The sequence below is a fragment of the Homo sapiens genome, chromosome 8 (assembly GCF_000001405.40).
Source record: "Homo sapiens chromosome 8, GRCh38.p14 Primary Assembly".
Lineage (NCBI taxonomy): Eukaryota > Metazoa > Chordata > Mammalia > Primates > Hominidae > Homo > Homo sapiens.
The window spans coordinates 63,384,183-63,398,933 of NC_000008.11; the positions used below are offsets into that span (position 1 = coordinate 63,384,183).

At 38.7% G+C, this 14,751-nt stretch overlaps 1 long non-coding RNA gene across 2 annotated transcripts in view, besides 2 other annotated features; it reads right to left on the reverse strand.

Annotated features, from left to right (window-relative positions):
• Positions 1–642: 642 nt before the first annotated feature.
• LOC105375875 (uncharacterized) overlaps positions 643–14,751 on the reverse strand; it is a 33,098-nt gene continuing 18,989 nt past the window's right edge. For both annotated transcript variants that reach the window (NR_188107.1, NR_188106.1), the window contains one exon: positions 643–1,724. This is a non-coding gene — a long non-coding RNA (uncharacterized LOC105375875). The remainder of the gene's footprint in view (positions 1,725–14,751) is intronic.
• Positions 7,149–7,443: an enhancer, noted in NCBI's record as "tiled region #7401; K562 Activating DNase unmatched - State 12:CtcfO, and HepG2 Activating DNase unmatched - State 12:CtcfO". NCBI's record gives its function as "activates a minimal TATA promoter and a strong SV40 promoter by Sharpr-MPRA in K562 cells, with weaker activity in HepG2 cells {active_cell/tissue: K562 | HepG2}" and the evidence as "EXISTENCE:reporter gene assay evidence [ECO:0000049][PMID:27701403]".
• Positions 7,467–7,616: an enhancer, noted in NCBI's record as "active region_27454". NCBI's record gives its function as "activates an Ori minimal core promoter by ATAC-STARR-seq in GM12878 lymphoblastoid cells {active_cell/tissue: GM12878}" and the evidence as "EXISTENCE:reporter gene assay evidence [ECO:0000049][PMID:35858748]".

Sequence of the window (14,751 nt, forward strand, 5' to 3'; positions counted from 1 at the left end):
TTCAGGTGAACACCAGTTGTCACATCCTTCTCATCAGTTATACAGTGAAAGTTTGGGTTATCCTGGGAGGCTTAATAGAGCTACTGTTTATTGATTCTTATACCTACTTTTTACATTTGGTGATACAGATTTATTTTAGGGTCTCCAATACTATATCCACTTAACACAGGTGATGTCCACATTTGGATGGGAAAATTTTCATACCATGACCTTAAGTAGTGTGAGGGAGCTGTAGCTGGCAAACCTTCTGCCTTAGGAAACATTGCGCCAAGCTGACATGGAAGATGAAAATGAGTAGCTGAGTTGGTAGGCATCAAACTTTCAAGTGCTGACAGCTATGGGCTTCATGGTACTTGGATGCTAACAGAAAGTGAGCCACTTCCATTATAAAAACATCATTATAAGTGTATTGAAAATATTGTAACCAGAGATGAGGTGTGAATTAGAGGAGGAGAGAGAGGTAGAGGTAGAGGTAAAAGGAAAAACAGAAAAGAAAGATAAGGTAGGAGGAGGGAGAAATAACAACCTAAATCTCAATAGCTAGAGAGAACTGCAGTTAACATTTTGATTTAAGCACAGACACACAAATACACACACAGTCACTTCAGCACTTTCTGTAAAATTGGCAAGTGAACAAAACTTGGACAAGATCCCCTCAGTTGTAAGCATGTCAAGTTTATCATAGTCGTGAGGCATTTAGGAAGATGTGTTTAAGATACAGTAAAGTTTATGCCCAAGTACGAAAGAAGGGGAAAGGAGCAGTTGAGTGAGTGGTATTTCTAGGAGTTGTCAATCTCCTAGGTGTCTGAATATAGACATCATAGAAGAGAAGAAACTGACTGAGTAGATCTGGGGCCATCAGCACAGAGTGAGGCAAAAATAAAAATGGCCTTGTAAATGAGAAAATTGAAAAAAAGTACTCCGATGGGACGAAGTAGATTAAAACTTGGAGCCTAAGATTTTAAAATACAGAGTTACCTATTAGGGAGAATATATAAAATACATACTATTTTTACAATTGACAGTTATGATATGGAGACTGCTTTGGGAGGGGATCAAGGGGTCACTTTAGTCATAGGCATTATTGTCTGCCACTTTATTTTTTGGTGCTGCTCCACATTATACAACATGAATACTGTGTAGTTATGGATCTTTGGCTTCTAAGGTAAGGCCTATTATGGGCTGACATACAGGTATGTGATATGGGGCTGGTACCTTAAAGAATATGTTTGTGTGGAGAGGATGCAGACAGAGAAGCCATGAGTGGTTTCTGTGGGTGCTCTAAGAGGGAGAGGATCACTCTGTAGCACATTCTTGAATTTTCTTATTTTTCTGTCTTCACTCCATTTCTGATCATCACACGTGATGCAGTCATAAGGAGAAAAGAAAAGTCCAATGTGTCCATGATAGGATAGTGATATTTTTGTTCAATAGTTTTATAGCATGCATATAGCATGACAATATGCTAGACTGATTGCCACTGCTAATTGTATCGATCATTTTGCTATGTTACAACTTTAGAATTTTAGTAGTCTATAATATTCACATTTCCTTCTTTCCCGCATTACATAAAGGCTGAGAGTTGACTGCAGGTCTGCTGTGGGCCATCTTCAAGTTCAGTCCATGTGTCCTCTCATTTCTGGACCTAGGCTGATGGAGTGGCCCTTTTCTGGGACATATGTTCTTGTGGCAGGAGGCAAGAGCACAAGAGGTTGTGCCGACATCTGTAAAACATCCATTGACATAACTGGTCTTAACAGTGAGGTAGAAGATATATTCTGCCTAGAAGGAGGCTTCATAAGGGTGGAGGTTTTTAATCTGCTTACAGAGGAGGACAAGAATAATTGTGAATAATACTAAGATGTACCAAATTAATCAGCTAGAGCTTAATTTTATGATAGTGGTCTTTGGGGGTACTTGGGGATACTACCATGGGAAGGAAAAAAGTCTTTGATTGCAGTTAAAGCAAAAGAAAAGATTCTCAAAGTGTCTCATGTCCATCCATTCCTAATTATATCACATAATTTTACCACAAAAATTAAAAATGAATTCAATATTTAAAATTCAAATATAATTAGAATTGCAAAGAATACAACAATATTAAAAATGCAAAGGAATGCAAATATAAATCATGTAATTTATCTTTTTGACATACCTTGTCTGTAGAGACTTGTGCCGACGTAATTTCATCTTGTTTAGTTTGCAGATAAAAAGATAATCCCTGATACTATGTAAATTACATTGTGAAAAGCTCTTCTAGACCATTATATAGAAAAAAAAACAGCTGGGCTTCTTACACTATCTACCAGTAGTAAAGGAAATGAAAAAAAAAAATACAGTTTGACCTACCTACATGTTTCATCTTGATTGAGTTAGCAATTTACCCCTCAACATATTTTTCTTTGGATTGCTTACTTAACCATTTTAAGACGACATGCAGCAGTTGTACTTCAGAAGTATGCTATCAGCAGTCTCCTTCTTTATAGTAACTGTTCTCTGTAACCAACTTCCCACTGCCTGTGATTGAAAAGTCTAAGATATTAAGGTCTGAAAATTGAGGTTTTGAATTGAAAGGAAAACACCCCAATTTTGACTATAGTGCAGGACTTTGGTTTTTTAACATTATTTTATAGGAATCTTTGTAAAGAATATTTTCAAATTTGATGTTACTTTTACCTTAGTTCTTTCAGGGAATGAAATAGAAGTATTAAGCTTAAAATGTTAAGGTTCATGTGAATATGAATGCATATTTTGTTAGTGTAGTTATTTTCCATTGGAAACTTTTACAACCAATAGGAAATTAATAGTACCATCATCATAGGCCTTTGTTGATTGCTTTGGGAATTAAGTACTAAATGGTATTTTACCATCCTTTATGGAAGACCAGAGTCAAATTCCACCCTCATTTAAGAGGCTTTCTTCAATTACAGTGGTCCTCATCCTCAATAAACTCTCTAAACTGTGAGACTGTTTTTTTTTTCTCTTCTCACAAAATCTATCATGTATTCTAAATTGTACAATTCATGGATCAGAGCCAGCCTGAATGTGTTTAACCTTGTCCCAGCTCCCTGCATGGGCTTGGCAGGTAGTGGCTCTAAATCTGTTTGTTGAAGGAATGAATGTGTTTCAAGTTCAAATTGAAATGAGTTATTTCAAGTTCAATTTTTTTTTAAAATGATACAGCTATGAATTCTTTGAACAAAGGAGTGTATGGTATTCCTATATATGTATGGAGGGCCCCACCTGGTATCTTGCACACAGCAGATAAGTTGTTGAATTGAACTAAACTATTAATTTTAACCACAACTTAGTACCACCCAGCTGTGTTAACAAAATCTCTAGATACTTAAAACTGAAATGAGCAGGCTGGGCACGGTGGCTCATGCCTGTAATCCCAGCACTTTGGGAGGCCGAGGCAGGCGGATCACCTGAGGTTGGGAGTTTGAGAGCAGTCTGGCCAACATGGTGAAACCCCATCTCTACTCAAAATACAAAATTAACTGGGCGTGGTGGCGCATGCCTGTAATCCCAGCTACTAGGGAGGCTGAGGCGGGAGAATTGCTTGAACCTGGGAGGCGGAGGTTGCAGTGAACCGAGATCACGCCATTGCACTCCAGCCTGGGCAACAAGATTGAAACTCTGTCTCAAAAAAAAGAAATGAAATATTAGACAGTAAATGGGACAAAGAAAAAAATGGGATGAGTGATTATTTTTTGTGAATAAAAATAGCAATCGATATTTAAAGAATATCATATTTGAATCATGGACTCTTTAAAGTTGGAAGAAGGCTTTGAGGCCTTTCCAAAACATCTAGGACATTATGTATTCCAATGTCACATGGCCTTGGTTCCAGTCTTGAATCCTTCATAGGTGTGGCCTTGGTCCATTTATCTAAACCCTCTTTGTCTCACCTCTAAAGTGATCATCTTGAATCACCTCTAAAAATGATCATAACAGCATCTACTTCATAAGATTGCTGTGAGGATTACATGAGGCAATGCAAGAAAAATATTCAGCTTAGTATGAGGCAGAGTAAGTGCCTAACAAAAGTAAGTTATCATATTGTTGTTTCTGTTTTTATTATGTGTAGGACACCTCTGGCATGCAAAGAACCATGGGAGGATGCAGAAATAGGAAATGGCCTCAGAAGTTCATTACTACTGCTAATTGTTTTTTAAAATGAACCTTTTCTGAGAACTTATTATTTAGTTGACATTATGTAAAATACTGAATCCATTATCCTCATGCTCAACACAACTGTTTAATGAATGTGGAAACTGAGACTTAGGAAGGCCAAATATCTCACTGAAGGTCACCCAAAAAGTACGTGGAAGAGATGGGATTCAAATCCAGTTCTCCCGGCTAAAGCCTGCAGTTTGTGCTCTCTCATAGGAAACACGTCCAAAAGTTATGTAAGGAGGGAGCAACGACAGTTCTATTGCAAAGTAGGTATCATTAGGAAGGGGAGATCATTTTGCATTGGGAGTGATTGTGGAAAACAGGGAAAGTGACATTGGATAAGCAGAATTTTCATAATGAAAGGTAAAGGGAGAGTTTTAGTTTGAACCATATGAACTCATTTTTGTAGGTCAAAAAGTCAAATATTCATAATTTTATATGATTCCACCTAAGAAATATTTGTGGTAAGAGTGATGACATGGAAAATACTTAAAAAATGGGGCATTTTAATCCTTTACCAGGCTCACCATTTTCAAATGAGGGCTCCTGAACGTTATAGAGAAAGGGGAAAATCAGAAATGTGAACAGCTTAGAGTACAGGGATTCTGGGAAGAGGAGAATGAATCTTTTTTTTTTTTTTTTTGAGACAGTGTCACTCTGTCGCCCAGTCTGGAGTGCAGTGGTGTGATCTCGGCTCACTGCAAGCTCTGCCTCCCGGGTTCACATCATTCTCCTGCCTCAGCCTCCCGAGTAGCTGGGACTACCATACTCGGCTAATTTTTTTTTTTTTTTTTTTTAATTTTTAGTAGAGACGGGGTTTCACCATGTTAGCCAGGATGGTCTCAATCTCCTGACCTCGTGATCCGCCCTCCTCGGCCTCCCAAAGTGCTGGGATTACAGGCATGAGCCACTGTGCCTGGCTGAGAATGAATCTTCAATCAGATGAAATTCAAGAATAAATTGCTAATGCCATGATTGTTAATCTATAGGTATTTTAAGCCAGTTTTAATATGTCTTTTTATTTTTAGGCAACTTATATAAGATATAAACAAATGATTTACTTAAAATTGTAATAAACAGTAGGGGCAATGAAGATGTTTCTAGGTTTCCATCAAGCATTTTAGGATTAATCTGAACACACAACATTCATCATTTCAAGAAGAGACATGTATCAGACATAAATAACATTGCAAAAATCTCTTCTGCATCAAATTCACCAAGAAGATTTCTTTGACGCAAAGTACACAGATTTTACTCCATATAGGAAAAGAAAGATTTTATACTTTTCTGATTGGAAAAATAGAGACAAAACTGGGCATTTAAGGGCTATCTGTATTTCCATTTTTGGAATGGACTCATCTGCTTTGCTGCCGGAGAGTGATCACTTATCTGGAGAGTTAACATTTCTGCCCGGCACTTTGTTCTGAATGAGCACAGCCTGCAATGCAGAAACAGTTTTTCAGAAGGAAGCGAGAGTGACATTATTTGCCAGGAATCTCAAGGACAGGGCTCTTTCCACCCCCCCTAAGGTCACGCTCCAAGGCTCTTTTAAACTATCTCAAAGAAATTATGTTTTATTTCTGGAGACCTCTGGAGATGAGAAAAGGACACTGATGTATACCAACATTGTTATATACTAGGCAATGTTCTTTGATCCTTTAGATACTTTATTTCATTTAACTTCTCCACAGCATTATTATTACTACTACTATTGTTATACCATTATTATTTTAACATGTAAAACGAGGCTTAGAAAAAAAAAAGAGGCCTACAGCCACATCCTTTGATTCAAACCCTTGTCTTACTAACTCCAAAGTCCATTCTGTCTGTTTTACCTCACAGTGAGTGCCTCACAGCCAGAACTCTTCCACCTCAGCTTGGTCTACTCATTGCAATGTTTAACAATTCTACTACCAACACTGTCCTCCTAAATCAACAGCTCATAATTGAGAGTAATTTTGTCATCAGAGGACATTTGGCAATTCTGGGAGACATTTTTGGTTGTCACAATTTGGGGCAGTGAAAACTGGCAGGTAGCTGGTTGAGTCCAGGAATGCTGCTGAACACCCTGCAGTGCACAGGACAGCCCCCACGACAAAGAATTATCCCACTCCATTGTCATCAGTGCCAAGGTTGTGAAGCTGTGGCCCAAGTCTTACATGCTTCTTAATCCCCTCACCCATCCCTATATTTCCTTGTTCTGGAAATTTTTGCCTACCTTCTGACAATCCATTTTTATTTCTAGACAATTAGAAAAACTGAATAATGAATGTAATCTTCTCGTTATGAAACTTTCATTAATATATTTTGTAGAGGTGATTGGCTAGACACTGCACAGTGGAAATGGATCTGTTTCTTTCTATTAGGAGCTTATAACCTTAGGTAGGCTTCTTTACTAAAGCCTAGAAGAGAAGCCAGCAGGAATACAGCTATGCTAAACTCACACACATCTTAGGGAAGGCTTTGAATTCTCAGAGGTTAATGAGAAAGGGAAAATGTTTTCAGGTGAAGAATGGAGGGTTATGGGGAGGGCAGTAACACATCCCTTGGGGGAGCCAAGGAAGTCATCACCTTCTCCCTGCTAGGTGTAGGATAGTCACGTGGAGGATGCCAAATTTCAGAACCTACCAACGGTAGGAAGAAATTTGTTCTGGGGGCAGTGCCGGATGTACACTGAACATACACGATGCCAATACATACATGTATGCACCCATTTTTTCTTTTACAACTTGTTTTTGGTTTTACTAATGAATAATCCTGCAAATGATCTAACTCTCTCTTGTCCTTTGCTTTGCCTGTGTAAACACAGCAACAAGCAAACAGTAATTCAGTTATACCCTGTACTTGCAGCCCTCTTAATTGTTTTAAATTCTTTAAACAAAAAGCTAATATTTATTTGCCATTTTTTACACAACAGCTTTATTTGGGACATGCACTCACAATCCTCCAAGAACAAATAGCTGTATAGATTTCCACAAGGCCCAAAGCAAACATAATATATAGAAAGACAAGCTTCCCAAATCCTGTATTCTTAGATTTCTAATTCCGTTAAGTGTGGCTTTAATATGCAGTCTAAGGCCTTTCCTGGTTGCATTATCTCTGAGCAGCCACAAGAGGGAGTGTGAAGAACGCAATGCTCTGTGGAACCGCGATTACAGAAACCGTTTCCTTTAGTCCACAGCAGAAGCATCCGCAGCTTCCTGTATTCTGAGCAGAAGTAAGAGACACTTAGAACAGTCACTTGCATGTCCTCTTAACGTTCAGTTTACTCGGAAGAGGGAGAAAGGGAGGTTCTGAAGGTTCCTTGAGATTTCCTGTCCTTGGTTTGTAAACGATGCCTGAGGGAGATTTGGCAATATCAGCCCACACAGGCGTTGGGCTCCATTTGATTTAGCTGAATTTTTACCATGCCAAAAACGGCCAAGGCTACTGGGGTGACTTGGGGTTTGAGTGGAATTAATCACTTTAAGTTTGATTTTTCCACAGTGATTCATTTCCTTCAAAAAGGATCTTGATGATTTAGTTTGCCTTTGGCATTTTCAAAGGAAGAGAAATCAACATTCTCTCTTTTCTTTCAAAATAGAACAGGGAATGGAAATCAGAGCCCCAGGTCTCCTCCCCTCGCACCTTCACTCTGTTTATGCGCTATTGCCACAGGTGGGTGTCCTACAGAAAGCTCAAGTGCTTCCAAGAATACTCAGACAATTGCTATCAAGTAGGGCACTCAGGAAAGAGGACACTGATGGAATATTGGGGTCTCGTAGGGCGGTAGTTCTCAAACTTGGGCATAGATCAAAATCACTCAGAATACTTCCTTGTTCAAACACAGAGCTCAGTTTCGATTCAGTAGGTCTGAGATAGGGGCTGAGAATCAGCATTTTTAACAAGTTCTCAGGTGATGCTGAGGTTGCAGTTTGGAGAACACACATTGAGAATCACTGCTCTGAGGAGTATTCTACGGAGAAATCCCTAAGATTTCTCCATTAATCCTGAGAATGGGGCCTGAGAATCTGCAGCACACTGGTCACAGTAACGATGTGCTCCCACGTGGGATTGGTGCCTGAGATTCTGATCCCGGCTTCTAAGGCAACGACGACTATTTCCCACTCGTACCTCCTTGCAGACTCTAATGCTCCATGAAAGCTAGACTTCTGAATTAAACAAAATCTTCAGACTGCTTCCCCAGAATACTTTAAACCACTGAGCTTCCCTGCCACAACGTCTCACAACCCTGCTGATAGCTGTGGCCTCTGTTTTGAAATCTGAATGCATGGGAGGATGTATAGGCAGATGCATTCTCTACTAAGTGGATGCAATTTGCCAGAGTTTTCTACATTGACTCAATTTCTGGGTGACCTTGACAAGTTACTTTATCTCTGGGTATGTTCTATAAAATGGGAACAACAGCTGCACTTAAGGGTGGCACGTGGGTTGAATGAGCTAATACTTAAACAGTGATTAGGACAGTGGCTCTCACATTGTTCTCAATAAATATTAGCTATTACTGTTACCCTTCACCTTCACTTCTAGTATCGATTTCCTTATCTGGAAACTTGAACTAAAAAGCCTCTCAATTTCTGAGAGTGTATTCTTGTGCTGTGTTATTGGAATATTGGAAGTATGATGGAATTACCTTTAAACCTTTCACCTGGCTGAATGATATGGCCTGACCGCCACGCAGAGGTCAGTGATCAGGTGTAAAGGTCAATTATAATTTCTAAACCACATAGCTTGTTCCAGGTTTATTAATTTTGAACAGTCTGTGGTGCTGACTGTATGACCTTTGTAGCAGGTTAGAACTTACTTGAAACCGTTATTCTTTCTGCGTTACAAAATAACAGGAGGAAAAATAGGAAATGTGGTCCTGGTCAGATCAATGTGCTTCTAGCACACTGCTGTGTGATTTGGGGCAATGTATTTCATGTGCCTGTATCTGTTCCCTGAGTGCTGAAATGGGTTAACAATTAAAAGCTGCTTCAGGATTACCAATCTGGTTTTCCACGTATATGACTAAGTATTATTGAATTACAAATGCTCCTCAACTTATGGTGATGCTACATTCTGATAAACCCTTCCTAAATTGAAAATATGGGAAGTAAAAAATACATTTTTTACCACAATAAACCCGTGATGAAGTAGAAAACTTGTAAGTCAAACCATCCTAAGTCAAGGGACCATCTGTGCTTGTAAACTTTAAACAAATATCTTTTATATGAATTTTCATTTTTACCTTTTAATTTCTTAAACATTTATTTACTGTATAGGCGATATTGTCAAGATGTAAAATCCAACATGTTGAAAGGGTAAACAAGGAAAAACAAGTCTCCCTCCATACTTATCACCTGCCTACACAGTGTCTATCCACTGAGTCTTTTTTTTCAATTAATAGACATTATCTATTTGGGCAGTTTTAGGTTTACAGTTTTAGGTTTACAGAACCTACAGTTTTAGGTTTTTAGGTGGAAAGCACACAGAGTTAACATATGCTGATGCCCCCTGCCCTATACGCACAGCCACCCCCTCTAGTTTCAACATCCCACACCAGAGTGGGACATTTGTTACAATCAATGAACCAGCATTGACACATCATTATCGGCTGAAGTCCACAGATTACATTAGGGTTCACTCTTGGTGTTGCAAGTTCTGCAGGTTTTGACAAATTTATCAAGACATGTATCCACTATTAGAGTATCACACAGAATAGTTTCACTGCCTTAAAACTCCCCTGTGCTTCACCTACTCATCCCTCCTTCCTGTTAAAGCCCTAGAAACTTCTGATCTTTGTACTGTCTTCATAGTTTTGCCTTTTCTAGAATGTCATATAGTTGAAATACTACAGTATCTATCCATTTCAGATTGGCCCCTTCCACTTAGCAATATGCATTTAAGGTCCCTCCATGTCTTAACTCACTCATCTTCAAATTCGTCTTCACCTATTTCTATTCACCTATTCAAGGACATCTTGGTTGATTTCAGGCTTTGGCAAGTATGCATAAAGCGGCTGTAAACATTCATGTGCAGGTTTTTGTGTGGATGTAAGTTTTCAGATTGAGACTTTTAAAACCATAACTCTGAGATGTAAGGAAATCGTAACCACTTGGGACATAGGACTGCCTTTTATCTCTCACATGCATCTTGTATTGAAGTCAGTTTCAAGCAGCTAGTATGATCACTGCCATAGTGTTTTCAACAGAAACATTTCCTGAAACATGTGTCTTTTAAACATTTTCTTCTCTAGGCTGACTCAGTAAAATATTGGTTAGGATGCTCTTCCCACCAAGAAGCTGAGGTGAAATTGAAATGTTACCTGTTTGTTCATCCTCTCATGCCTCAGAATCCAGATAAGGCTCTCTGCTGATGACATAACCATCATCCCAGTGTTCCCAAGTACATCATCCTCTGGCTGGCTGGCCCATCCTCAGCCATACTCACCATGTCCACCTCCCACCTCATTCCCATATCCATGGCTATGTCACTCGATATCCTTATTGCCATTTCCCTTACTTAATAAAAGCTGCTATCTTCCTCAACTACCTTCAGAATATTACACAATAATTTGCCTGTAAGAGGTGTTTAGTAAACATTTATTGCTACCACAAAACGTTGTTGACACTGTTGCAGATAAGAACTATTTGACTAATCAGATTCTGTATCCCCTAGCATGAAAGATGCAGATTCATAAGAGGCACTTCTGGAAGAGTAACAATAGCTAACATGTTTTAATATTCACTACATATTAGGCATAATGCTAAGCATTTTCACGTGTTACCTCACTTATCCTCATCAAAATCCGTATTTGTTATTATTACTCTCATTTTACATATGAGGAAACTGAACCTTTGCAAAAATAAATAACTTGCCTGAGGACCTACGCAAACCGCCCATGTACTGCAAGAATTCCAAGATGTATATCAGGGCCTATGGCATGCAAAACCAAAACAGATTTTAATTGATCTCACATGTCACATTGAAGTGAATTATTTAAGTCCTTGTCAATATAAATTTGAGCTTGTGGTTATTTGGTTAGTATTTGTCTTCCCCCAAAGACTGTATGTAAGCTTTGTGAAGTTAGGGACTGTTTTGCTACATATACAGATGGTCCCCAACTTATGATGGTTCCACTTGCAATTTACTGACTTTACCATGTATGAAAGTGACATGCATTCAGTAGAAACTGTACTTTGATTACGCCTATAACGATTCCGTTTTTCACTTTCAGTGCAGTATCCAGTAAATTACATGATATATTAAACACTGTATTATAAACTAAGCTTTGTATTAGATGATTTTGCCCAACTGTAAGCTAATGTGTGTTCTGAGCACATTCAAGATGGGCTAGGCTAAGCTGTGATGTTTAGTAGGTTGGGTGCATTGAGAGCATTTTCAACTTTCAATATTTTCAACTTAAGATGGGTTTATTGGGTTATAACACCATAGTAAATCAAGGAGCTCTTAGCAAACTGGCCCATCTTAAGTATTTTTAATCTATAAATGACTTCAGCCTTCCTGTGGGTCAACAAATTCATCTCTTGACATGTCAACCCTGCTGAAAAAATAAGGCATTTTGGAACCTGATATGAACAGTCATCACAAGGAATGTATTATTATCATCTCCTAGAACTGTGGTGCCATTCCTGTGTTTCATTCTTCAGGTTAATTTCTGGTATAGATCTTTGATGGAGAAAAACTGGGTCTGGTGAAGCACATTTTTTAAATGATTTGTGTAATATCAAGTACCTTCACATCTACTCTTAAAATTCTAACCATTCTTATGCGTGTTGGTTGCTGGGATTACATTATTGTGCCTACCCATAAATGATCAATTTTAACTCAAGAAGGAAGAATTTATGTTCTCACAGTTAATGGCTCAATGTATATCTGAACCAAAAATGGCTATTAGAGATTTGTGTGCTATCACAAAAGACAGTGGAAGCAAAACCAGAGTGTATTATTGTACTCTTTTCAAAAGCATTGTGCTTTCGCTATTGACTTCCTGTTGCTTAGAATTTCAAGTTTTAACTTCTCAGCCTGGCATTCAAGAAACTCCATCTGATGACCCTAGCTTACATGCTCACCTTTATATAATAGTCCTTAACAGGGCCTCTGGGCTGCTGAAATGGATTCCGCTGTCCCTGTCTTATGTCAGGGTCATTTTAATCCACACCTTGCTCAGATAGCATGATTTGTTCACTTCTCTATCCATGCTTTCTCAAATTCCTCAAAACCAAGAATAAATGCAGTTTTCTGCTTTCTCTGGATGACTTCAATATATAGTAGGAACTTGATCACAACTTAGGTGTGAATAAGGGCTCAGATTCTGATTTGGGTTAAAACAAGTCTTCATTATTTGCTCTCTAGGTCATCTTGAGGGAGTTGCTAATTTCTCTAAATATAGTGTCCTTATTTGCAAAATGTAAATAGATAAAATTACCTTATAGAATTATTAAGAGTCAATGAAACTTTACATGTAAAATGCTTAACAGTGAACACACAGAAATCAAAAGCTTGTTTTGATTTCCTTTAAATTATTTCAAATGATAGCTGTCAATTAGATTGTAATTTCTTGTGTGAGAACTGAGATTATAAATTAAATTTTGAATAATCACAACTGTAAGTGCTTAATACATTCTTTTAGACCCAAGTAATCGGAGAACAACATGAAGTTAAAGGAAGATGTAAAAACTTTGGCATGTGGTCCTCCAGTCAAGTCTGCATTATACTTTAACCTATTATAGTCAGGAACACAAGAGGAGGACTGCTCTATTAGTGGTGGTGATGGAGTAAGGATTTTGTGTTTAATTTTAGTAATGTGAGGTTCAGGAAAGTATAGAACCTTCAATAAGAAGCCAATGGGGAGTAGGATTCACAGGTCTGGCAGTGAGAGGAGAGATGAGAGCTGGAGATACCAACTTCTGAGTGGTAATTGAGTCCATAGGCATTCAGGGTACCCTGGGAGGGGAGTGTAGTGTGCAAAACAGAGAGGATTTAGGAGCAAGGATTGTAGACTTGCTTATAGGCTGCACAGATGATGAATAGTTTGCAAAGAAAGTGAAAGAGTGAGTAGAAAGATAAAAGTAAGTCAGTGGTAACACTGTCCCCAGTAGAAGAGAATATTTCAAGAAGATGGGCATGCTTGATGTTGCCAAGTGCTTCTGAGGGGCCAAAGAAGTGAAGGTCTATAATAAGCATTGTGTTTTTCAGCAGGAGGCCACTGTTGACCTTTGTGGGAGCTGTCAGAAAGTTATTTGAAGTAGATCAAGAAGAGAATGGGAAATAAAAAATAGAGAAATCAGGTAAAGAAAACAATTTAAAAAATTACTGTTAAAGAGTGAATAGAGACCGACACAAGGGATCTAGAAAGAAATGTGAGCTTTATTAACCTTTTTCAGGGGAGAGTTTTGAGCATTAGTAAAAGCCAATAGGGAGGTTACAGATCTGTTATAGGTTGAATTAGTCCCCCTATACTCATACATTAAAGTCCTAACCTCCAGTACCTCAGAATGTGACCTTATTTGGAAATAGGGTCATTGTAAGTGTAATTAATTAAGATGAGGTCATACTGGTTTTGGTTGGATTCTAATCCAGTATGACTGGTATTCTTCTATAAAGCTGAAATTTGGATACAGAGATGTTTCCATGGAGAATGCCACGTGAAGATGAAGGCAGAGATTGGGGTGATGTTTTTACAATCCAAGGAATACCAGAGATTGCCAGGATTCCACAAGCAGCTAGGTGAGAGGCATGGAATATATTCATTTTCACAACCCTAAGAAACAGCTAATCTTGCCCACAACCTTGATTTCAGACTTGAGCCTCCAGAACTGTGAGACAATGACTTTCAGTTGTTTAAGCCACCCAGTCTGTGGTACTTTGTTCTGGCAGCCCTAGAAAACTGATACAAGATCATAGGAAAAAGATGAACATACGAAGGATAGTTGTTGGTGTACGTTCCTCAGAAGGTAAGAATGGGATTCAAGTTGGTAAGAAAGCTGATAGAATGTATGCAATGTGGGTAGGCTTATATGTTCATTATTGAAAAGGTAAAGGAGTTCTCATCTGATGGCTTCTATTTTCTCTGTAAACTAGAGGGAGAGGTGTCTAATGAAAGTGAAGAAATACAAGGGGGAATTTTGAGGACCTAAGTGAGTTGGCCACAGGATTCAAGTCATTCATAATCTGCTGTCTTGTGTAACTCTCTTCAGCAACAGGTGAAGTCACAGAGAAGTGAATAGCTGAGTCACTCAGTGCTGGAGTCTAGCAAGACAAGACAACTAAAATATAGAGCATTGAGAAATGTCATTTAAACAATATCTTGTGGAATCTAAGCCTACAGGAGTAGAAAGCTGGGTTTGAAGGATACGGTTGATGGTTTGAAGATGGTAAAGGAGTCTTAATAAGTCTGCAGAATGGTGGGAGAAGTTGAACAGGCAAGAGAGGAGAGAGATGTGGGCATGGGACATCTGATGTTGGGTCATGACAAGTCCCAAGACATGGCTATTGGAGCAGCCAGACCAAGCCAGGGAAGGGGAGGAGGACAAAAAAACTGTGAGGCATGGGCCGTGATGTGGGGTA